The sequence below is a fragment of the Homo sapiens genome, chromosome 3, assembly GCF_000001405.40.
Source record: "Homo sapiens chromosome 3, GRCh38.p14 Primary Assembly".
In the NCBI taxonomy this organism is placed as follows: domain Eukaryota; kingdom Metazoa; phylum Chordata; class Mammalia; order Primates; family Hominidae; genus Homo; species Homo sapiens.
The window spans coordinates 42,204,876-42,227,041 of NC_000003.12; the positions used below are offsets into that span (position 1 = coordinate 42,204,876).

Genomic DNA, 22,166 nt, shown 5'->3' on the forward strand with positions numbered 1-22,166 from the left:
CTGGCTCAGACTTCTTAGCTGTTACAACCAGTATTTTCTTTTTTCCCTCCCCTCCACAGTTATTTTTTGTGTTACCATGTTTAATATGATAAGATGGGATGCTGACACAGAAGTCAGCCTGGGCTAGGTTCAGTACAGCTCTGACTGTGACATTAGATAAATCACCCCACTTTTTGAGCCCTGTTTCCTATTTAGTTGTGGTTGTGAAATAGGCTGATAGCCATCAGACCAGACTGTGGTGAGGAGTAAATGTGAAGTATTTTATATTGTACCTGGCATCTAATAGGTGCTTATTAAAATGTTGGCTTCCCAAGCTTGCTCCAATCCAGGTCTGTAGGGCTGAGTTACTAGTATTGAGATCTGGACCAGCACTAGGGTCATGTTCTTAAATTATCTTTTTCTATTGGCCCACTGAGAAGCTAGTAAGATTCCCATAATCACCAGCAGCCCAGGTAAATGTACCTGGGGTGAGGTCCCTAGAGACTGTTGGCTGAGATCATAGCAGATAGCCAATCAGTGTTTTCCATCTGGCTCCGTTACCTGTTGAATTAATCTTGCCATCTGCTTATTGTGAAAGCCAAAAAGCTAAGTGTTTAAGAGTGCTAGCACTTTCTTGTCTCTTCATCTTACCTTACCAGTTTTAAGCAGGTGAAGAACAAACAAACCATTCAAACTAGAAAGATATCTGTGTTAAAAAGACCAAGGCGGGCAGTATTTTTTTCCTGTAATTTGCACTTCCTTTCTGCTTAATCATAACCAAGGTAGCATTTCCAAATAAATAATATGTAAATAAGGGAAAGGATACACTTCAAAGCTGTACATTATCCAGCAGGTTTCATTCTAGTATCTAAGCCCTGATGCTCCTCTGACATCAGTGGATTTTGGGGTTTCCTCTCCTTTGATGACTTGAAAATGTTTTAGCTGGAACACTGGGGTATGGAAGGAAAGCAGAGGGGGAAGGACGCAATGACCATAGTCATGTTTTCCCCACTGTCCGTGCCCTTTTCCCATAGAACTTTATCTTGGGGCCAACCAGGAACATGAAGTTTCCTCTCTTTCCTTGCCCTGTTTGCCTAATTCCTGCCTGGTTTTAATGTGGGTGGGAGGAGTGAGCAGGTCTTGAGTTGGTAATGGGAGGTAGCTCATATTACAGTGTTTGGCAAGTAAAGGAAGCCAGGCTGGGGAATGAGCTGGAGAAATGGAAAGAAAGAGGTAACTTGGGCTCTGAATAAGATGCAATTCATATTTATTTTTTAATTCTTATACCTTCTTATGTCAAAGGAAGGACTCCAGGCAGCCAGGGGATTGGTAGAATTCCCACATGATGGTTTAGGCAGCAGCAGGGAGGTGAAGCATGAGGTGTTCTGCCCAGTTGATGGGTTTGGCAAACCCCGCTGGGACTTTGGAACCAGCCAGAAGTGGAGATAGTCCATGAGCCCCATAGCATGACATAACTGAAATAGCACAGTCAGGTTTGAGAAAGCACCCACATGAGAATCTAGAAAGCCATTCAGTTGTGTTATTGACTAGGTTTCGGAGGCTCTCATGTGTAAGGCCTGTCACTGCTGAGAGTTAAGAGAATGGACACTGGAGCCAGCCTTGGTTTCAGTCCCAGATCAGTCAAGCCACTTGCCAGCTCTGTAGCCTCTAGCAAGTTACTTTCCCTTCCCGTACTCAAGTTTCCTCATCTGCAGAATGCAGACAGCAGGGATAACGTGAAGATTAAGTGAATTATAAATGTAGACCTCAGAAAAGTGTCTGGCGCTTAGTAAAAGCCCAGTAAAAGTTGGCTGTTCTTACATGGGTGTTCTTACATCCCAAGGCATGGGATAAAAATCTGAGCATGATGCGTCTTTTCACATAATGTTTTAGTTGTAATTTCACTAAATTTCCTTGGCTGTGGAGTGTCAGAGAATGCAAGTAATTCCATGCATTTCTGTGGCATCCTTAACTCCAAACAGCAGACCCTTTGTAGCCTCATTTCTTTCTCTTCAGCCCATCCTTGGGAGCGGGTGAGGAGAGGGAGTGATGGGGCAGCCTGTTGAACAGTTGGAGGAGAAAGGCCTATGAGACTCTTGTCAGGGCCCAGACCTCCAGCCTCCCTGGGTTCTTTCCCAGTGAATTGTAAACATCTCAGACCCCCTTCAGAAGGATGAGGAGGTTGGCATTTCCTTACCAGGGTTCTTCACTTCCCAGAGTCTATTGGCATACCCCCCTTTTCCCTTCCAAAAGTAGAGGTGACGTGGCCATATTGTACATGGGGTTTTCTCATCATCCTTCTCAGACTCCAGTGTACAGTCCCAAACTGAACATGGCAGTACAGTGGCTACTTTAAGACTTCTCGTGGTGCTATTTTGTTATCAGGAATGTGCCTGCACAGCCAGTGAGCATTTGTACTGGGGCCCATTAGGTAGTGTGAATGGGAGTCCGCAGGGACAGCAGAGAACTCCTATCAGCAGGAATATCTCCTGGCAGGCCCTGGACACCCATCTGGAAATTCTGCTGCTGACCATTTGTGCAGCTGGGACACTGATGTCCTTCTTGTTCTCAGACCTGTGGGTTTTGATGGGTGGGCAGTGAACCCATCAAATGGGTTAGTTCTGAACCCCGGCTATGCCACCACTAATTAAGTGGCTTTGGAAAGTTATCTAACTTCAGGCAGCCACCATTCCCCTATCTGTAAAGTATATAATCATACTCAGTTCCTAGGATGGTTTCAAGGAGTGAGCTGATATAATACATGTAAAACAAACTGCGATGCAGGCCTGCCTCAATATAGGGAAGCTTAATTTAAAAAATCACAGTGATGCTGTGGCATCTGGGACTCGGGAGCCCACGAACTGGTCTCTGCAGGTCTGCGAAGCCCCGGCGTTGTTTGCACAGTGTTGCTAGCATGCACACTTCCTTTAGGAAGTGGGTCCACAGCTTCCTTCAGATTCTCGAAACATCTGAGAGTTAAGAACCACAGCTCTAGAGAAAGGCTTCTCAATCCCAGCCCTGCTGACATTTGGGACCAGTTTGTTCTTTGTTGTGGGGGCTGTCCTGTACATTGTGGGATGTTTGGCAGCATCTCTGGCTTTTACCCCCTAGATGCCATTAGCACCAGATGCCGTTCGTCCACAGCTGTGACAACCAAACGTGTCTCCAGACATTACCAAATGTCCCTGGGGGAGTGGGGTACGGGGCGCAAAATTGTCCCTAGTTGAGAACACCGCTCTAGATGCATCTTAGCACCTAGTGAGAGAACGGATATGTGATACCCTCTTTCGTTATAGTCATTCTTATTTCTTTTTTTCTTGAATTTAGAATATTTTCTATTTATATTTAATAGATCCAAATTAAGTATGTTGCTATTGTACCCGTGAACCCTTAAAACTGGGATAAGCCTTGATGTGGGTGTCTGGGAACTCTTTAAACATGTATTGGCAGTGTGCACCTTTTTTTTCCTTTTGAGTGGATTTGAAATTGTTCATTTATAAATCCCTTTCAAGCCTCCCTGGCTGAGATCGACACATGAGAAGTTATTTCCAAGGGGTGTTTGGAAATGGCAGACTCTGCGCACACCATGCGGCCTCTCCCTCACCCCACCGCCTCCCACCTCGGCCTGCCTGTGTTCCCTTCTCTTTTGTCTTGACTTCCTGAGCTGCCGACTCCTGGCATCTTTGACTCCCTTTTCTTCGCTCCCCAGGGCAACCTGGTATCCTGGAGGGCTTCTTGCCTACCCAGAAAGTATACCCTTGGTAAACCAGTGGTGACTGCCCGAGCATCCATTTGTGCAGGAAGCCTCCTGCCTTTCGGTGCCCGAGAACCTCTTCAGAAGTCTCTCCTTTGAGCATGGAATATTTATTTGTGTGGCCATGCATATTTGGGTGCCTTCTTAATCTGTAGAATGGGGCTAGCCCTGCCAGCCTCACGGGCCATGCACTAGCATGGTGTCATGTGAGGTGTTAATAAGTGTTCCAAGGGTAAAATGGGTTGCTCTGTCAAGTAAGTTGGCAAGAACACCGTAGCATACTAAAGGTTCTGTGATGCCCCTCAGTAAAAACACTTAACTCAAGTTTCCTGAGCATGCTTGGCCTAGGAACACTTCTCTTTGTAGAACACTTGTGACACCTTGAGGTCTTCAGGGACACACTCCAGTGTTATTACAGACCTTGCATGATGTCATGTGAGTCCTGGGGTTTGGTGTCATCGAGAAGATGGGCTCCCCTGCTTTAGACCTCTGTGTGGACTTACTATGTTCTTAAATCACACCTCTTTAACCCAATTCCTTCTCCCTAACCCGGCAGCCTCTCAAAGTTGCTGGCAAAATACAGAAAACCTAAGTAAAGGAGGTGATGGCCACATCTGCCACACATCTCTGTGTACTGCTTTCATTTCTTTTTGCTTTTCTCTTGCTGTTGGTCGTGGGCTTGGTTTGACATGATCTTATTCTGCCTGAGCTTATGTCTTCCGTGTTCCCAGGAGTGTGTATTTGGCATAGAATACGTACATGTGGCCCCGCTTTTGTGCTTATCTTGCCATTTTCCCCCTTCCATTTTGTAAAATGAGAAGATGTTGAGTTCTGGGGTTGACATCAGTTGATTAAAATAAAGACCTTGCCCCAAACCTCTTTTGCACATACTATGGTGTGGATTTTACTTTAAAAAAAAAATGGTTGATTTCTTAACTTGCTATTCCTTCTGAGCATGGTAGGGTTTGGCTTCTGTTTCATGGCAGGAAGGGCTAAGGCGGCTCCACTGAAGTTCCCGCTGCAGTCCACCTGGAGGCCCAGACCCTGCTGGGGTTCACGCTAAGCACTTTGAGGGTGGTAAACAGCCATTGTCTTGGACTTCCATCCTAACCCTCTCTTCTCCTTGTCCCCCTTCTTCCCTTCCCTTTCTCCTGCAAGGTTCCGCCACACTTCACCACTGGCAGCAGTTGGCCCAACCTCACCTTGGGGGCATCCTGGACCCCCGGCCCGGTGTGGTCACCAAGGGCTTCCGGACGCTGGATGTTGACCTGGACGAAGTGTACTGCCTTAACGACTTTGAAGAAGATGACACAGGTGACCACATTTCTCTCCCACGCCTAGCTACCTCCACTCCAGTTCAGCACCCAGAGACCTCAGGTGAGAGGTCCCAAGCACGTGTGACTGTCTCAGGCAGCAGAAGTTACCCGAGCCGGCCTCAGGCTTCCCCAGAGGAGATGCAGGAGCCGCCAGCGGCCACGGAGGAGGAGGAGGAGGAGGAGGAGGAGGAGGGGTCTGGTGAGGGCACCACGATAAGTCCTGTAAACTTGGCACCTTTCCCGGAGGCAGAGTTTTGGGCCATTCTCACCTCTGTTCCAGGCACCATCCGTAGTGGTTCTCTGTCTGTAGCTTCCGCTCGTCTGTGTGGGTGATGATTAAAGCATTCTCATTGCACAGTTCTGTTTTTAAATACAGAGTCTGATGCCTCCTATTTGTAACAATGGGTGTAGCTCCCCTGCCCATCTTGGAGGTGCATGGCCCATCAGGGATCTTTAAAGTGGGAGCAGGAAAGGCTGCTAAAAAAAAAAAAAAAAAAAAAAGTGGGCTTTTGGGTCCCTGAAAACATCAGTGCCCTTCTTCCTGGTCTGGGTGTCTCCCTGAGTCTAAGGGGAAGATTCTCAAGTCCCCTGGTGATTTCCAAGTGGAGCTGAGCAGTTTTAGGGAAATTGAGTGCTGGGTCATTCAGAAGGTAAATGAGATCATCTGTTACCTGTACGCTGTATTAAAATAGAACCAGGAAAGGCTCAGGATTTCAGACATTTCATCAGCCTTTTCACTTTCCCAGCTTCAATGGAGGTATATATGTCATTTTCTTTTCAGCTTACACATGTGTTCAAAGTGGATTTTTAAAAAGTGTTTTAGCAATACTCCTTAACCAAATAAACCTTCGGAGAACGTCACTAAGCTTTTCCAGAGAGAAGACCCTAGATGAAGTTGGAAAAGAGCTCTGGCTGACTCCACCCACTGTCCCCAAGCATTAAAGGTGTGGCCATGAGTTTACAGAATTACCCACATTCCAGTTGCCACTGGGATGAAAAGCTTTGTGCTCAGAGCTCTGGGAATCATGGGATCACATGGTTACTGTTTACCCCAACAGCATGCTCTGTCTAGACTGGACCTCCCAGCCCCTTGTGTTGGGAAGGCAAAGCTTTTGTGGAGTCAGGGGGGAGACTGAGAAAAAATGAATTAACCCTGTGTTGTCATCCTCATGACATTCCTGAGGATTCACCAGGTTAGAAGTGAGGACGTTTATCTTTGTGATTCATAATTTTCATTTGTGAAGGCCACAACACTCCCCTTGAAATACAGGGCAGGAAAGAGCTGAGGTTCTTGGTGGTGTCTCCCATTCCCCTGGCTAATTTCAGACAGCTGTGGTCAAGGGATTTTACTTGGGATCAACTTTTCCTTTTTTCCTTGACATTAATTTTAGAGAAGTCATCAAGTCATGTGATTTGTTTAGCACATAGGTTTATTTATGGTTTGATTTTTTTTAGGCAGTTATATTACTAGATTAAGCTTGTGAGGGAATGAAAATGTTTTTTATTTGTTATCTACACACTCGAAAAAGAGAAACCAGCTGCGGTACTGTCCCATTTTTGTCATCAGCACCAGTGTCCGTCAGGAAGGCAGGTGGTGGTGCAGAAACATGATGCCTGGCTGATTTTCGTGGCTAAAGGGGTAGGCCTTATGTTGATTGGGATGCTCCCCTACAGCCTTACAGGTAGAATAGAAGGTGAGTTCTGGAAGTGCAAAGAAGCACCATTAAGTGCATCTTCTAGAAGTTGTACAGAAGGACTAAAGCTTATCAAGTCAACAAAGAACTTACCTTGGAGGATAGAGAGAGAGAAGGGACCAATTATGAGGACTGACATCCTGGCCACTCTCCTTAAAATAAACACTGACATTTTTCTTGCTTGTTCTCTCTGTACTCAAACCTGTGGCAAATTCATCCTAGCAACGTTATTTGACGAGGGGCATGAACATTTATAGTTGAAACTGTAGAAAGGGTCAGGTTGGAGGTGTGTAATAAAAAAGAATTACCTAGGTTGCCAAAGGTAATTTAGGAAGGGTCTGATCATTTAGATGAGAGTTCTTTGGGGCTTATTTTCTGGGTAAGGCTCATCTTTAAAAACTGGCTTCAGAGGGGAGAGGGGAGAACAATGAATTGGCTCTATTTTCTCTATTGGGAATTACAGGACCATTTTGATTCTTAGAATGTAAAAAGCATATCGCTAAGTAAATCATCCTGGAGGTCCCAAGTAGCTCTATGCCTGCAATCATGGAGACACAGGCAGACAGATAAGCTTCATGGGGAAGGCATGGGGCATCCTCTGTCTTGGGATTTGTATCCATGGTGGTCTGGTCCCTGCCTTTTAATCCGTCCTCTACGCTTGGGCTTTTCTGTTACCAAACAGCACTATCCCAGGAACTATTGTCTGCCTGGGAACACTCAGTAGGGAGACACTTTGGAGACAGGAGGTGATGAACCTTTTTATGTGCAGCTGGTATGATAGAAGGAAATTGGGAAAACTTGTATGCTAGGCACTTTTGTCCAGAGCCTGCTGTCCCATGGAGAAAAAGTTTTAAGCACTGAAAAAATTTGATTAATGTATTTAAATGTATTATTTGAAGCATCATTCACTTGTTGATTTTTACAATCCCATGTCTTAAAAAGGATGAATCCATGTTATTGTATTGTAAATAATTTAGATGATTAAAATGGATTGTTTAAAAAGTTTTAGATTATAGTTTTACTTTATTTCAGTGATATGTTTTATGTTTTAATTTATATAGAAAGTATACTTTATCAGAACTAGTTATCATCTTTTTCTGTCAGTACTCTGTATTTTAGGCATTTGTGTGGGGAAGAGCCTGCATGTGGCAAAGGATTAAGAGTTAAAGTCACACAGTTAAATTGGTAGTTGGCTAGTGGATGGGCAGTTCAGTTGAATTATCTTGAATGCTTTGATCCTTAAAGGTGAGAAAGAAGTAGGATTCAAGCCACATGGATAGAGAAAATTGACAGTCAGTTTATTTTAATGCTTTTACTCATCAAGACTGGTTCATATTGAGGGGAGATATCCTCAAAAACTTACACGAATCATGGCATCTTGACATCTTACCTGGCAGTGGCCCTGCAGTAGAACCATGTCCTAATTGGAGCTGAGATTTTTTTTTTTTTTTTTTTTTTGAGACGGAGTCTTGCTCTGTTGCCTAGGCTGGAGGGCAGTGGTGCAATCTCGGCTCACTGCAACTTCCACCTCCCGGTTCAAGTGCTTTTCCTGCCTCAGCCTCCCAAGTAGCTGGGACTATAGGCACACGTCACCATTCCAGCTAATTTTTTGTATTTTTGTAGAGACAGGCTTTCACCCTGTTAACCAGGCTGGTCTCGAATTCCTGGCTTCAAGTGATCTGACCGCCTCGACCTCCCAAAGTGCTGGGATTCCTGGTGTGAGCCACCACATCTGGCCTAGAGCTGAGATCTTAAAGTCAGAATGGAAGACAAAAAACACACTTGGCTAAAATTGCCCTTAAAAAATTCCCTAAATCTCCAGCAACTGGGCCACCAAGGCGAAAGCCAGGAATCAGCTTCTTTCGTTGCCTCCTTGTTTGATACATAGGCCCAAGGTCAGGAGCAGTGACTGAGTGAGGAAAGGGCAGAGAAGGGCTTGTGGTGAGAAGGAGCCAGGCGGAGTCAGGCCAGCTGGGTGTTCCTGCAGCTTTGCCCGGGCGGGGCAGCTAGAGCAAAGCTCAGCCAGCTTGTATCCTGTCCCCTCTTCAGTACACCACAGACCACAGAACTGGGGTTCAGACAGGCTTGTGAGAAGTTGGTTTGGGGGCTTGATGGGTCTGGAAGGAAAAGTCTGGTATGCTCGATTCACAGACCCTTGGGTGCAGGCAAGTTCCTTCCCATTGTCTACACTGAGAGAGTTGATGTGAGTTCCCATGCTGTTGGGAACACTTCGATTCAGCCTGGTTTTATGGCAGTTATGAGGGAGTTTTGTTGTTATGGACAGAGTGGATAGTTGGCTCACACCCACCTGTATTAGGAGATGCTAAGGAAAGCCCTGTGCTCTGCCGTCAGAATATATATTAAGCCAGAGTAAAACAGGCCAACTGCCACCTGCAAGTGGAAAAATGAATGAAGAATGAAAGAATTGACTCCTTCAAAACAAACAGCATAGAGTCAACCCTGCTTAAAATATCCAGAACAAAGCCCACTTGTTGAGCATTTTCTCTCTGGTATCCTCACCTCTGAACACTACAGAGGGCCCCCTGGTGCTCCTAGAGGCACGTGGGTTGCTGAGGAGGTGTCTGAACCTGACACCCTTCTAATGTGGAGGGCCCTTGAGGGAGCACCCTGTGTTGAGAGGAGGAGCTGTGCAACCACACTGCCTAGTGAAGCACAGGTGAAGTGCTCTCTTGTGCTGGCCTTGAACGCACTAGTGGGGAAAGGTCTTGATGCAGCTCAGCCAGGCCAGCTCCCTTCACCTGTTGGTGTCTGCCACAGAAGGAAGGACAAGAGGACAGAGGGTATAGGGACCAGCTTTGTTGGTGTCTGAAGACTACAAAGGGATTTCTGCATTTGCCCTTTGGACGTTTTAATAGCATTCTAAAAATCCCCCTCTCTCTAGAAGATACCCCAGGGGCACTTGAGAGAATTTCTGACCCTCTCTGCACAATGCTGTGAAATTGTTTATCTCTTAAATCACATACTTTTCAGATGAAACAGGGTAGGCAACTTGGTGTAGTGGGAAGAAGAGTCGACTTTTAATTTTGCAGAAACCAAAAATAAGTTGTGCAGAAACCAGAAAAAGATCTTGTGATGTGTGGTTCGAAATCTCTGTGATAGAAACCTCCCAGGTTCCTGCTGGCCAGATGTCTGATCACCGAGGAGCTCAGGGACCTCTACGGAGCTGCAGGGGCAGTCGAGAGCTCTGTTGAAGAAATGCTTAAGCAGAGAAAAAAATAAATACCAAGCCTCTGTGAAGCCCAGAACTAAGGCCTTTAAAAGTGTTATCTTGTACAACATATTACAGTTTAAAATCACTTTTGTATTTTTTAAAACAAGAAAGTTGCACTGTTGCATCTGAAACTGCTCTTGATTCCCCGACTCCTCACCTCCAGAGAAAACACTTGTTAAAGCCACATGAATCCCTAACATAGTACTTGTATTAATGATGACTCGTAGGGCAAACTATTTATGCAGCTTTTCCCACGTGAACTCATCATAGAACTTTTTTTCCCCCTGAAAATATCATGGGCAGAGTTACATAATGAAGAGACAGGAAAGTCTTTAGAGCATCTTCCATGCCCTGATATTTTAGTCTTTTAGGAAGAGATAAAGCATTGCTTCTTCCCTATCTGTTTAATGGAAAGGGAACTGTTTCTCATGCAGCTGACAGGCAAAGACACATCTTCCTCTCCCCTTTCCACCCCTCAAGCAAAAGGCAACAAAGTCATTAGAAGCTGGGCATTAAACAACTAAAATATACTGATATTCCTAGGGGATAGTCCAAGACACACCCTTAAGCTGGATGGACAATGGCTTTTATTTTCAATAGATTTGTTTTTACTTGGATTGAACAGGCTGGCCTGTGGGTGCCACTGTTGGGGTGTGTGTGTGTGTGTGTGTGTGTACTGGTTGAGGAGTTTATAGAACTTGCAAAGCAGATCCAAGTCATGTGACAGCAGCATCCCACTACATGCTTAAGTCAAGGAAAGAAAGGTCAGGGTCATAGGGTTTATTTTACACAAGTCGGCCACTTCCCAAGAGTGGCAAAAAGAACATGGAAGGCCCTCAGTGCATCCCAAAGGTGGAGTCCCTTTTCCAAGATTTTGAGATGCTTTTGTAAATTTACATTTATAGAAGTTATTTATGTGAGTTTTTAAAATAGCTTGGGTGTGTGGCATGGCCAGTGTTTCTCCGTTCTCAGAGGCTTCCTTGGAAGCAGCTGTATCTGGGTGTATATTGCACCCTCAATTTCCCCATAGCAACATGCCAAGTACGGTTGCATTTTCCAATGTCTCTGGGCTCATGTGAGGGTTCTTTTAAGGACTAGGTTCTATGATGGCCTTTAGAGAGAAGAAAGCTTCTGTTGTCCCCAGCACTTCCCAGGGATGCGGGAAGGAAAACGCCATTAGAAGGGAAGAAAATGCATGAGCAGGTGTGTACAAATTGTATTATGGGCGGCCAGACGGGCAGAGTTCCAATCATCCTGCAAATCCCTGTGGAACCTCTGGGCCCCACCGGAGTGTCCCAGCCTCTTCTGTGTCCCCTTCTCCTCACTGTGAAAGCACTGGGCCATGGGAAGCAGTGGGCTTCCTACGTATTTTCCCTGGGAGGCCCGAGCAGCAGCCACCCTGCTCTATATAGTGCAGTCTGAGGGGCATCCAGGGAGTAGGGGCCGTGTCAGGGCTCCCTCCTCACTGGCTGCAGCAGAAGGATCCCAACCACCCAGTTTTTCAGTCAGTCCCAGGCATCATGGGCCCCCGAGGAGCATGGGCACTCAGTGCCACTTACCAAGCATACCTACTCCAGGCAGAAGGCTCACCAGAGTCCAACTAGAGAGAGCAGGTGAGGTCTCACTCTGTAAGAGTGAAAGTAAGAGTGGTTCTCACTCTTGCAAAGTCCTCTGATGTGTCCACCTGTAGCTAGCTGAAGGATGTGTGCTTGCATGTGGTGTGTTTTAAGAACAAAACATCTGCACGACAGCTACGGGCAGTTCATCAACACAGGAGATCTTGAATAATAATCAAGGATTAATTAAGTTTAAAGCGTATCACATTTTGTACCAGTGTCAGAATCTGGGGGAGGAAGAACAATTAAAAAAGAATTAGGGGTTTTTATTGGTAAATCCAAATTCATTCCTAAATCAAATGATGAAAATATTTGTCGTTGTTAATACTCTAACCCATTTAATATGTGCCTGTCTCTTCAAAACACTAGGAAGCCCTCCACTCAGGTTGAGAGAAAGAATAAGAATTTAAATAGGGAATTAAAGCCTTAAATCCAAGAAACTCTATCCTTTGAGCTCCCAAATGAGCAGCATGGGATGAACACATAATACCATCTTCTGCAAAGAACTTTCTGTTTAGATAAAGAAGGGGGCTTTGGTGCGTGGCATGGGCTTGGTGACTTCACAGTGAGCCCTCACCCAACCCCCCTATTTCCTGCCAAGAAGGATGTTTTATGTTTCTCTCTCTCTCTCTTTTTTTTTTTTTTTTTTTTAGAACTTGCTCTCTTCCTGCACCCAGGGCTTTAGGAATCAGCCCGTTGCTTCTCTGTAGCAAGCATGAGGAGCCTCTGATGATCCCAGTCTTGGGTGACTCACTGTCTCTCTGTTGTGTCTCAAGGAAGGGAGGTGCAGCAGCATCCTGGCAGTCAGTGGTGACATGCGGAGAGCCCACGGGTCCAGGCGTCCTGGTGGTATTTTGGAAGGGCCAAATCTCTGGCTTTAGCACTTTGGAAACTTGTTGATCTTCCTTGGTCTTCTACGGCTATTCATTGCTTCTGGGGAATGGTGACTTGTGAATTTTTAGCAGCCTTTTCCTATCCCCAAAACCCATTTGTATAAGATGGGTTTGCTTCTGCTGATGCAACTACGTCTCTAAAATGTCCATCTTACACTCCCTATTGCAATTGAAGATCCAATATGTAAGAGGGTGGAGGAGGAAGTGAACATTTGTGACCTTTTGATTTGATATTCTGGCCATATGTTTAAATGGGGGTATGCTTCTGATTTTAAATCCAGCCTTCCCTTGTTTGATTTCTTTTAAATGTTATCTCTCTTTCAACTGTGTTGTCTTATTTCTATTTACTGCTTTCCCCCTCTCCTCCTTCCCAAATAACCCCTCATGCCTGTTATTTGGGATGCTCTTCCCAGGCTTTTTGTTATTTTTGTTTCTAGACCTTATTGCGGGAAGAGAATCGTGATTGTTTGGTTGCCTTCTCTTCATAGCTTACTCCATTTTTGTTTTGCTTGTGGCAGTTTCTTACTTATTGGAGTTCCTGAGCCATTATGTTCACTGATTGAGAAAGATTCATAAAGGCTATTTTTATGTGTTTTTTTTTTCCTTCCCTCCTGCTTTGCCTGGAGCTCCCCATGGCTGAGAGTTTTCTCCTGTGGCCGTGGTGCTGGCTGTCACGTCAGGTGCCATGGGAGCCTGCTTTGACACACAGACCCGAGTCAGACCTTAAAAATCAGGGCAAACCATCTTGCCTTGTTCCTCTAGTCACCATCACTTTTGTACTCTGGATTTGTCCTGCCTACCTTTAATCTGTGTCTCCAGCATTTATTTTTTTGTTTGTGTCATCGGGTTCCTGGTTTTCTTTTAAGACATAGTCAACTGTGTGGACCTGTAGGTTTGGGGCAGCAACCAATTCCATTGTTTTCCTTTTTGTCAAATCCAAGAGAAAATATACCATAAGGAGCTAGAAGATTCTAGTTCACAGCCTTTTGAATCTTCATGGCCTTTGAATCCTCATGGCCTCTGAAATCTGAATCAGTTTTCTCCCAGGAGGTCTCTGGGGGCTGAGCTGCTACAGGGGCAGAGGGTGGGGTGGGGTTGGGTGGGAGAATCATCCCGGCACTTCATCGTGCATGCTATTTCGGGCAGCATCTTTTTTTTTTATTTTATTATTATTTTTTTTCCTGATGCTTGAGTTATGAATGAGGATGACCTCTGCAATCATGATGTCTCCCATAGACTCTGTTCCTTGTTCCTTTGCCAGCTTTCTCATGCATGGTCCTAACACTTCCATGATTTAATCTGCTGCAGACCATAGTCTTCAGCCACCTCAGCAATAACTTGTTAGAACATTAAAAGGAAGTAAATTGAGAACAACTTGTTGCCATCCCATTTTCATTAGAAATCAGACATCTTAGAGATGTCAAGAAAGCAGCTAGCAGCTAGGGGGTATGGGGACCTGTCCTGCTCACACTGCTGTGTGTCAGACCAGACCTGATCCTGGAGCTCAGGACCCTAGAGAGCCCTGATCTCTGGAACTCTTGCCACGTTGTTGCTGAGGCAGCTGAAGTCCCCATCTCCCACCATAACAATCACAAATAGACAGTAGTGGAGCCAGCATCCCCAGGCCCCTTTTTGTGTAAGCAGAAAGGGAGCTGTGAGCCTTGCCCTGTTTGCAGGTTTCAAGTGCCTCTCCCTGCCTGTACTTCTCCCCTTCCTCTGAGCAGAGCTTTGGTAGCTGTTGCCAATGCAAAGAAATGTAAAGCAGCAAAAGAAGACAGCAGGTTCTGACCTGAGGAGGGAAACCAAATTTATCCCACAAAGGCCCATTACCCCACCCCCCTCGCCTCCCACCCCCAGACTGGATCCACTACTGGCCCAAGAATACTGATGAGAAACCTAGTCTGGATTGGGTCGGAAGCTGGAATTTGGTGCTCTGCAGACCAGTGCTCAAAATTGTGGTTATTTTTGAGGACTCGCCTTCAATCCAGAACATTTGCGTTTCACCTTCCTCGCCCAGATCCAGTTAACAAGGTAGCTCATCACTTCTTGCATCTGTTGAGTGACATGCTGGATTTTAATTTTTATTGTGGTTGTACTTGGATGCAAGGAATATGTTTTGTTCCTCCCAATTTAGCGCACCATCCTGGGAAGTGCATGTCTCAGACCAACTCCACCTTCACCTTCACCACCTGTCGCATCCTGCATCCTTCAGATGAGCTCACTCGGGTCACACCAAGGTAAGGGACCCTGGCTTTGGGGTGGGCAGGGGTGGGGTGAAGTCAGGGCACTCCCTTCCCTGCAAGGCTTAATGTTGAGGAAAGCCAAGTAGAGAGGCTCATAGAAAAACCAACTGAAGCCAGTGTAAGCATCTCAGCATTTGCAGGCACTTGTTCTGGGTCCCATCCTTCCTTTTGTTGTTGTTATGTGTTTTTTTTTTTTTTTTTTTTTTTTTTTGAGGCAGAGTTTTGCTCTGTTGCCCAGGCTGGAGTGTAGTGGCGTGATCTCGGCTCACTGCAACCTCCACCTCCTGGGTTCAAGCCCATCTTTCCTTTTGAGTTGAGGCTATTATTTATTTGGATCTGGCTCAAATAAAGAGACCTGGACCGACCCACCTTTAGTTGCCCTTTTAGTTGGCTATTTAGTTAGAAATGGATTCCTAGGCCGCTCCTTAACCAGCTGAAGTTGACACTACCCAGGCCCTATGGCTAAAGTCTGTTGGATTTTTTGCCCCCAAGTTTGTCAGTAGAGCACAGAGTTCTTTTATTTATGGATGGAGTTACTGAGCCCTGTGGAACCCCTTGTGCCTCTGGAATAGGCCCCAGGAACCATGCAGCACAGCCAAACGGTAATGACCAAAATGAGAAGACTCCAAAATTGAGCCATGTGCCCAGCATGGTCCATTTCTCTCTGGAGCACCATCTATGGGGAGGACTTGTCTGGTGTGAGTTGGTCTGTTTGGCCTGATTTCAGGCCTTTCACTGCTGCCAGCAAAAGAGAAAATGCTCTCCCCTAACAGAGTAGAACGACCCCCTCAGCTGTTTCCTCTGTGGTGTAAGATGCTGGGTTGCTGGAAGGTAAAGCAGAAGGGGTGGGAACAGTCAGCCAGGGAGCACCTTAAACTATGAATAATTCTCCGCAGGTCATGTGAGGAGGACGACGAAGCAGCCATATGCCCCGTTGAGCTGAGAGGAGATATAGGGCAGAGAGTCTGAGCCCACGGGCGAGGCAGGGGGTGAGCACACCGCCAGCAGTGCCTGCCCTGGCAGGGCCCTGTGGAAGGAGCTGTGTGTGCACGCGTGGCCGCCACTAACCCGGGGACTTAGGCTTGGATGTGTCTCTGTGGTTGTGCCTGGCTAACTCGGCCTTGATGGTCGATGCCCCTAACCCAGCTAAACACCCCCAGTCAAGCCGAGTGCCAGCACTAATAAAGGCCTAACCCTAAGTTCTCACCAGACGGGGATCATAAATATTAGCTTTGTCTCCTCCGTCTCTCTGCCCCTGGAGAACTTGGCTTCCTCATCCTGTGGCTTTATGTTGGGAAGAGATTGTTTTCAAAACCATGGAACCAAGCTTCTCCCTATGAGAGGCTGGTGCCCTGGGTAACTAGATGGCACTCCTGACTGTAGCCATAGGACTCAAACCAAACACAGGTTTTCATGTGGCTGTGTCAGGGCCGAACAAAGCCTGGGAAGTCAGTAGCAAGAGAAGGCTCTTTTTTTTTTTTTTTTTTTTTTGGCTTGAGTTTGAAAGAAAGGCTGCTTGAAATAAAATGGAAACAAATCAATTGAAACAAACAAAATGGAAACAAAATCTCCCTAGGGATGGCCACATCAACATGATTTTAAGTCTAGAGCATTTTTGCCCTTTACTGAGGGTACATCAACATTTGTAAAACTCCACAAATGCCTTCTGAAAAAATCCATGTTTAACCTTAGGAATTTGTTGTGGTTTCTAATCATGCTTTTCCGAGTCCCCCAGCCCACCAGCATCCCCACCCCTGAGCTTGTGTGAGATGGGCCTGTTCTGGGATCCCCACCCTGTGCTGACCTCCCAGGGCTGAGGTCACCTGAATGTGGGGCCAGTTGGTTCCCCTAGCTTGTACGTTGCTTTGAACCTCGTGTTTCCCACGAGGGAGGGGGCCCCTTCTCTGGTCATCGCAAAGACCTGCTCCAGAATGGGCCCTTTTCCTTCCCATTCCCTCCTTTGGTGCCTTTCTCAGAGTACATGGACTTCCTTCTGCCAGACTGGGGAGAGAAGTCTCCATCCCCAGCTCCTAGGGACCATGCAGCTGACCTGCTCCAAGGCACACTGGCAGCCCCAGCAAAATCCTGGAGCCGGCACCAGGGCATGTCCCACGAGACTGTTAGGAGGGCTGTGCATCTTTGCCCCTTGGTTGCTCATTGAGAAGCAGTATAGGGCTTCCATGCCTGTTTGGCCTCCCCTGGATCCCTGTAGCAGCTGTTAAAAGAGAACCTTTCCAAGCTTTGCACAGTGGCAGTATCATAGCCAATGAGGTTTATTACTAGTTGAAAATTTTCCCCAATACCCCGCCGTGACGACTTGAGATAGAGGCAGCATTGGCAATTTTTGACAGTTTTTAGGGATACTGAATTATTAGGTTGGTGCAAAAGTAATTGCAATTATAAAAAAAAAAAAGAACCTTTCCTGCTTTTTAAGCAGACAACAATGCATTCCCCTCTGCTGCCCTTCTGGAAACTTTTCTGTCCTAATGGACTCCACGACTGGATCCCAACTGCTGGAACCTAGCAAGTCCCTAGTGAGCACAACACGAGTGAATGAACAAATCTTTCTGCTTTCCTTCCGTAACTCAGGCCCCACACATTTCAGTGGGCCTTTCCCTGGGTAGCACCGTTGATGTAGATCTCTTCATATGTGACATGTCTCCCCGCGACCCTCTAACTCCACTGGTTAGAATGGATTTGGGCAAGGATATAAAGAGGGTTAAGGGCAGCACGGTGCAGAGGAAAGGGCTCTGCACCCAGGATTCAGGAGCTCACGGCCACAACTGACTGGATGGGCACAGCCTGGCCTCAGTCCATGCACTGTGGCCAACCTTACCCTTCCTAAGATAAGGAGTATCTCATCTCCCAGAGTCCTGGTTCACGTCTTGCTTCAGGGAGAAGTAGGTACTAAGAAGGAATGCTGGAATCTGGGTAAATTTGGTGGAGAAAGAATGCCTCTTTGCCAAAGGGCTTCCTTTCCCGTTCTCTAACAGATTTAGAGTCCCTCAACTTGGGTTGTCCACTTAACAGCCAGATGTGACACCAAGTAAACCCTTAGCTCTGAGCCTGTTTCTTCATCTGCAAAGGGGACAACTGTACCCACCAACCAGGGATGGGCAAAGGGGATCATGTGCAGCTTCCTGTTAACTTAAACCATGCTTCCCTTGAAGGGTGAGAGGGAGGAGCAGACGTGGACAGAGCCTTTGGGGGCCTCAGCTGGTGGAACCCTCTCATCGTGTCCTGGGTCGTCCCTACCCCCCCTGCAGGAAACTGGCCACTGACCCTTTCTCTGGAGCTCATGGGCATTTCTGGTGAATAACCTGTCATTTCTTCTTTCAGCCTTAACTCAGCCCCAACTCCAGCTTGTGGCAGCACCAGCCACTTGAAATCCACGCCGGTGGCCACACCATGCACTCCACGGAGACTGAGCCTGGCTGAGTCCTTCACTAACACCCGTGAGTCCACGACCACCATGAGCACATCCCTGGGGCTCGTGTGGCTGTTGAAGGAGCGGGGCATTTCTGCTGCCGTGTACGACCCCCAGAGCTGGGACAGGGCCGGCCGGGGCTCCCTCCTGCACTCCTACACGCCCAAGATGGCTGTGATCCCCTCTACTCCGCCGAACTCGCCTATGCAGACACCCACATCCTCCCCACCCTCCTTTGAGTTCAAGTGCACGAGCCCTCCCTACGACAATTTCCTGGCTTCCAAGCCAGCCAGCTCCATCCTGAGGGAAGTGAGAGAAAAGAACGTCCGCAGCAGCGAGAGCCAGACCGACGTGTCCGTCTCCAACCTCAACCTCGTGGACAAAGTCAGGAGGTTTGGGGTGGCCAAAGTGGTGAACTCAGGGCGAGCCCATGTCCCCACCTTGACTGAGGAGCAGGGACCCCTCCTCTGTGGGCCCCCGGGGCCAGCACCAGCCCTTGTTCCCAGAGGCCTGGTACCTGAGGGCCTGCCCCTCAGATGCCCCACTGTCACCAGTGCCATCGGTGGGCTGCAGCTCAATAGTGGCATCCGGCGGAATCGCAGCTTCCCCACCATGGTGGGATCTAGCATGCAGATGAAAGCTCCTGTGACTCTCACCTCGGGCATCTTGATGGGTGCTAAGCTCTCCAAACAAACTAGCTTACGGTGAGGACTGGAGGGGGGCCGGTTGCCCTAGAGGAGACCCACGTTCTCCTCTCTTGCTCCCACCTCCCTCTCTTCCCCCCACAGTGCACTCCCTCCCTCTGCCCTTCTCTGTCCACCCCCTCCTAAGCTAGACAAATCAACCTCGTGCCTAATGGAGGAAGTGTGGAAACTTTGTAAAATGTGTACATAGGACTTGGAGACCTTGTGTCCGCCCTGCTCTTTCTTCCGATCCCACAGGAAGTGCCCCTGCACTGTCATCACTCTCACGAGGACGTCACCTGTGCTAACCTGGGGGAAGGTGGGGTCCTTTCTTCTTTCCTTTTGAGAAGCACTGAAACTCCCAAGTGTGTTCTTATCCCATGGATAGGAAACCAGTGAATTCCGTGGCTGGCACACCACGAGCTGTCACGCGGCACGGGTCATAACACATCTGGGTGTCATCGGACACCTCACCTCGCCCACCCTGTAGGAGCGTAAGGAGCCTCCATCCTCAGCCACGTGCAGCTGACGTGGCTTTCCTGATCGGAGGGCTTTTCTTTTATGGGTGGCCCAGCTTCTTCAAGACCTTCACTGCTCTGCCTCAGTGGACAGTCGTTTCTTTTTTGAGGTGTGACCTTTTGTTTTCATGCCTTCCCCTTGAAGTCATCCTGTGTTTTGTAATCAGCTGTCAGGCCAAATGTCTGACCCGAAAGAGAATGTATTTACACTCATGCTGCGTTGTTCAGCAGCCCCTCTGTGTTCTGTGTGATTTGTTTTATTTTTCCTTTTTTTTACATATATATGCAGGGAAGTAATGGTACTGGTAGTGTATGTTTTCTATGTGGTTCAAATATGAATTTCGAACACACCAAGCCGCTAATGAGATAGCAGCTTTTTTCTGGGACCCAGAGTCACAACCAAATTGATTTAAGACCGGACCCAAGACACCTTTAACAATAGGACTGAAAGGAAAAAGGATAGGGAAAAAGCTTATTAAAGAAATGTGTCAACACCAAATGTAGAGGGGAAGAACCACAACCAGGCATAATACCAAACCGGTTCCAGGGGGAAACAAGGCTTTGGTATTCCGCTGGCTCCAGCGCTTTTTCTGAAACCCGAGGCTGGCCAGGGTGCTGTCACCATGCGGTCTTTGATTGCAGCCATTCAATGCCCACATGCTTTTCCTTCTTGTTTCAGAACAGCACATGGTCACAACAAGATATTTTCTTTCCCTCCAAAGCCTTTTGTCTCCTTGTGCCTCTTTTTATCCTTAGGAAAAGATCCAGGTGCTTGTGAAAAGAATCATGAATGCAACAAGGGAGGCTGGTCCTGTTGCTGTCGCCGATTAAGTTTTAAACTTTTATTTATTATTTATGTCTGCCGTATTTTAAATAAACATTCTCGTTCCTTCCAGTTTCAGTCATAGTGTGTCTGTGGCATTCCAGTCCAACCATGTGACTTATTTATTCTAATTTGAGGGCTGCACTGTACACCATGGTGTCCTGTGACACCGTGTTCCAGACATTTATGGAAGGAAAACATCCCATATAAATGAAACTGTCATGCTGTGTCCTCCCCGGCAGCAGAAGATGTGTCCTTCCATTGAGTGAGGGTAACCTTATGTCCACCAAGGATACTTTGAGAAAGCCCCTAAGGAACAAGCCTCAGTCCCACGGTTTCAGACTATTTATTCTCTGAACACAAGAGTATTGGTTAATTATGTTCTCAGCTCTCCCTGCTGTTGTATGTGTGCATTCACTGCAAGTAACTTATATCTTTTTATTTGAATGTATTTTAAAGCAGTAGATAGAATAACAAAGGAATATGAAAACCATGGACTGAATGGACCATTTTATGTATTCAGAGAGAGAAGCCACTCATCATTGCCAGAAATACCATGTAAAAATTGGCAGTTCAGAGGTTGCAATACTTAGTATAGTAAATAAATAAACGGTCAACATTGTGCAACCACTACCAAAAAGTGTGTTGTAATGCATCAAAAATCAACACAATTTTATTCACTAATGAGTATCAATAAAATAAGTTCAAATGATGGAAACCACACTGGTATTCTGATTTGTATTTTGTTTTTATCTTTTCATCAAGGAGACGATCTCTTTATGTAAGACTTGAAAGTGTTTAGCTCTTTGCAAAATTAAATGAAAGGCATATACTTCACATACTGTTACATGCCTTCTTTCTTTCAACATGATATCATACCTTAGACAACTTTCCAGTCAGACTCTGAAGATGTCCCTCACTTTTCAGGGCTGTGTACTATTCCACTGTGTGCATACACCTGCTGTGAATTATACATACCTTTATGAACCATCCCTTACAGATGGTCACTGGGATAATTCTTTTTTTTTTTTTTTTTGTGGAGACAGGATCTCACTCCATTGCCCAGGCTGCAGTACAGTGGCACGAACATGGCTTACTGCAGCCTTGACCTCCTGGGCTCAAGTAATCCTCCTGCCTCAGCCTCCCAAGTAGCTGGGATCACAGGTGTGTGCCACCATGCACAGCTAATTTTTATTTTGTATTCTTTGTAGAGGTGGGGGTCTCACCGTGTTGCTCATGCTCTTCTTGAAGTCCTGGGCTCAAGCAATCCTCCTGCCTCAGCCTCCCAAAGCACCGAGATTACAGGTGTGAGCCACTGTGCCTGGTGTCACTGGGTTAATTCTAATCTTTTGCTATCACGGTACTGTAATGAAAAAACCTTACATATATGCAATTGTCCACATATGTGAGTACATCTGTGAAATAAATTCCTGGATGGTTATTGCCAAATTGCCTTCCATAGAGTTAAGAGACAACCAAGGACAGTGGAGGTCCACCAGATGGAGAATTGTGAGAAGAACAAAAGAAAAAAATAAATATTCTGCCACCTCAATATTTGAAAGCAGTGAGATTATGCAAATAAACACTGTGGTAGGATGTGGCATCATGGATTTTAAGTCAGGTGCTAACCATTTGGCAGTGGTGTGACCTTGGGCAAGCCACTTACCCTCTTTAGGTCCTCCATTTTTTTTTTTTTTAAACCTGTGACATGAAAACAGTAATGCACCTTAGAGTTAATTAGTTGAGTCAATGTATTTTGAGCACCTACCATGTGCCAGGCATTTAAGTACTGGGGACGAATAAGTGAGCCAGTTTCTGCTGTCACGGAGTGTACAATCTAGAGAGAACAACACCAAGTGTAGAATAACAAGGGCTGTGCAGAGAATTAAAACAGGGTGGTGTGAAGGAGTGGGTGGCTGCTTTGGATTGGACAGTAAGAGAAAGCCACTCCAGGGAGGGGTACTTGAGTGAAGCATGTGAGATCTGGC

The 22,166-nt window shown here is 46.5% G+C and overlaps 1 protein-coding gene and 1 pseudogene across 33 annotated transcripts in view, besides 4 other annotated features; both read left to right on the forward strand.

Moving 5' to 3' along the window:
• Positions 1-21,015, forward strand: part of TRAK1 (trafficking kinesin protein 1) — a 212,798-nt gene extending 191,783 nt beyond the window's left edge. For 8 of the 33 annotated variants that reach the window (XM_047447718.1, XM_017005909.2, XM_047447717.1 and 5 more), the window contains 3 exons: positions 4,892-5,248; positions 14,619-14,721; positions 18,067-21,015. In XM_047447718.1, the coding sequence (XP_047303674.1) occupies positions 4,892-5,248; positions 14,619-14,721; positions 18,067-18,862 (1,256 nt within the window). In that variant the 3' untranslated portion in view covers positions 18,863-21,015. The other 25 variants (XM_017005911.2, NM_001349245.1, XM_024453403.2 and 22 more) reach the window with 13 other exon arrangements.
• Positions 1,254-1,333: an enhancer, noted in NCBI's record as "active region_19742". NCBI's record gives its function as "activates an Ori minimal core promoter by ATAC-STARR-seq in GM12878 lymphoblastoid cells {active_cell/tissue: GM12878}" and the evidence as "EXISTENCE:reporter gene assay evidence [ECO:0000049][PMID:35858748]".
• Positions 1,574-1,623: an enhancer, noted in NCBI's record as "active region_19743". NCBI's record gives its function as "activates an Ori minimal core promoter by ATAC-STARR-seq in GM12878 lymphoblastoid cells {active_cell/tissue: GM12878}" and the evidence as "EXISTENCE:reporter gene assay evidence [ECO:0000049][PMID:35858748]".
• Positions 8,240-8,741: an enhancer, noted in NCBI's record as "H3K4me1 hESC enhancer chr3:42254607-42255108 (GRCh37/hg19 assembly coordinates)". NCBI's record gives its function as "activates a minimal SCP1, AML or CMV promoter by ChIP-STARR-seq in primed H9 embryonic stem cells {active_cell/tissue: H9 hESC(primed)}" and the evidence as "EXISTENCE:reporter gene assay evidence [ECO:0000049][PMID:30033119]".
• Positions 9,698-9,807: an enhancer, noted in NCBI's record as "active region_19744". NCBI's record gives its function as "activates an Ori minimal core promoter by ATAC-STARR-seq in GM12878 lymphoblastoid cells {active_cell/tissue: GM12878}" and the evidence as "EXISTENCE:reporter gene assay evidence [ECO:0000049][PMID:35858748]".
• On the forward strand, positions 16,965-17,090 carry RNU4-78P (RNA, U4 small nuclear 78, pseudogene; annotated as a pseudogene).
• Positions 21,016-22,166: the final 1,151 nt, after the last annotated feature.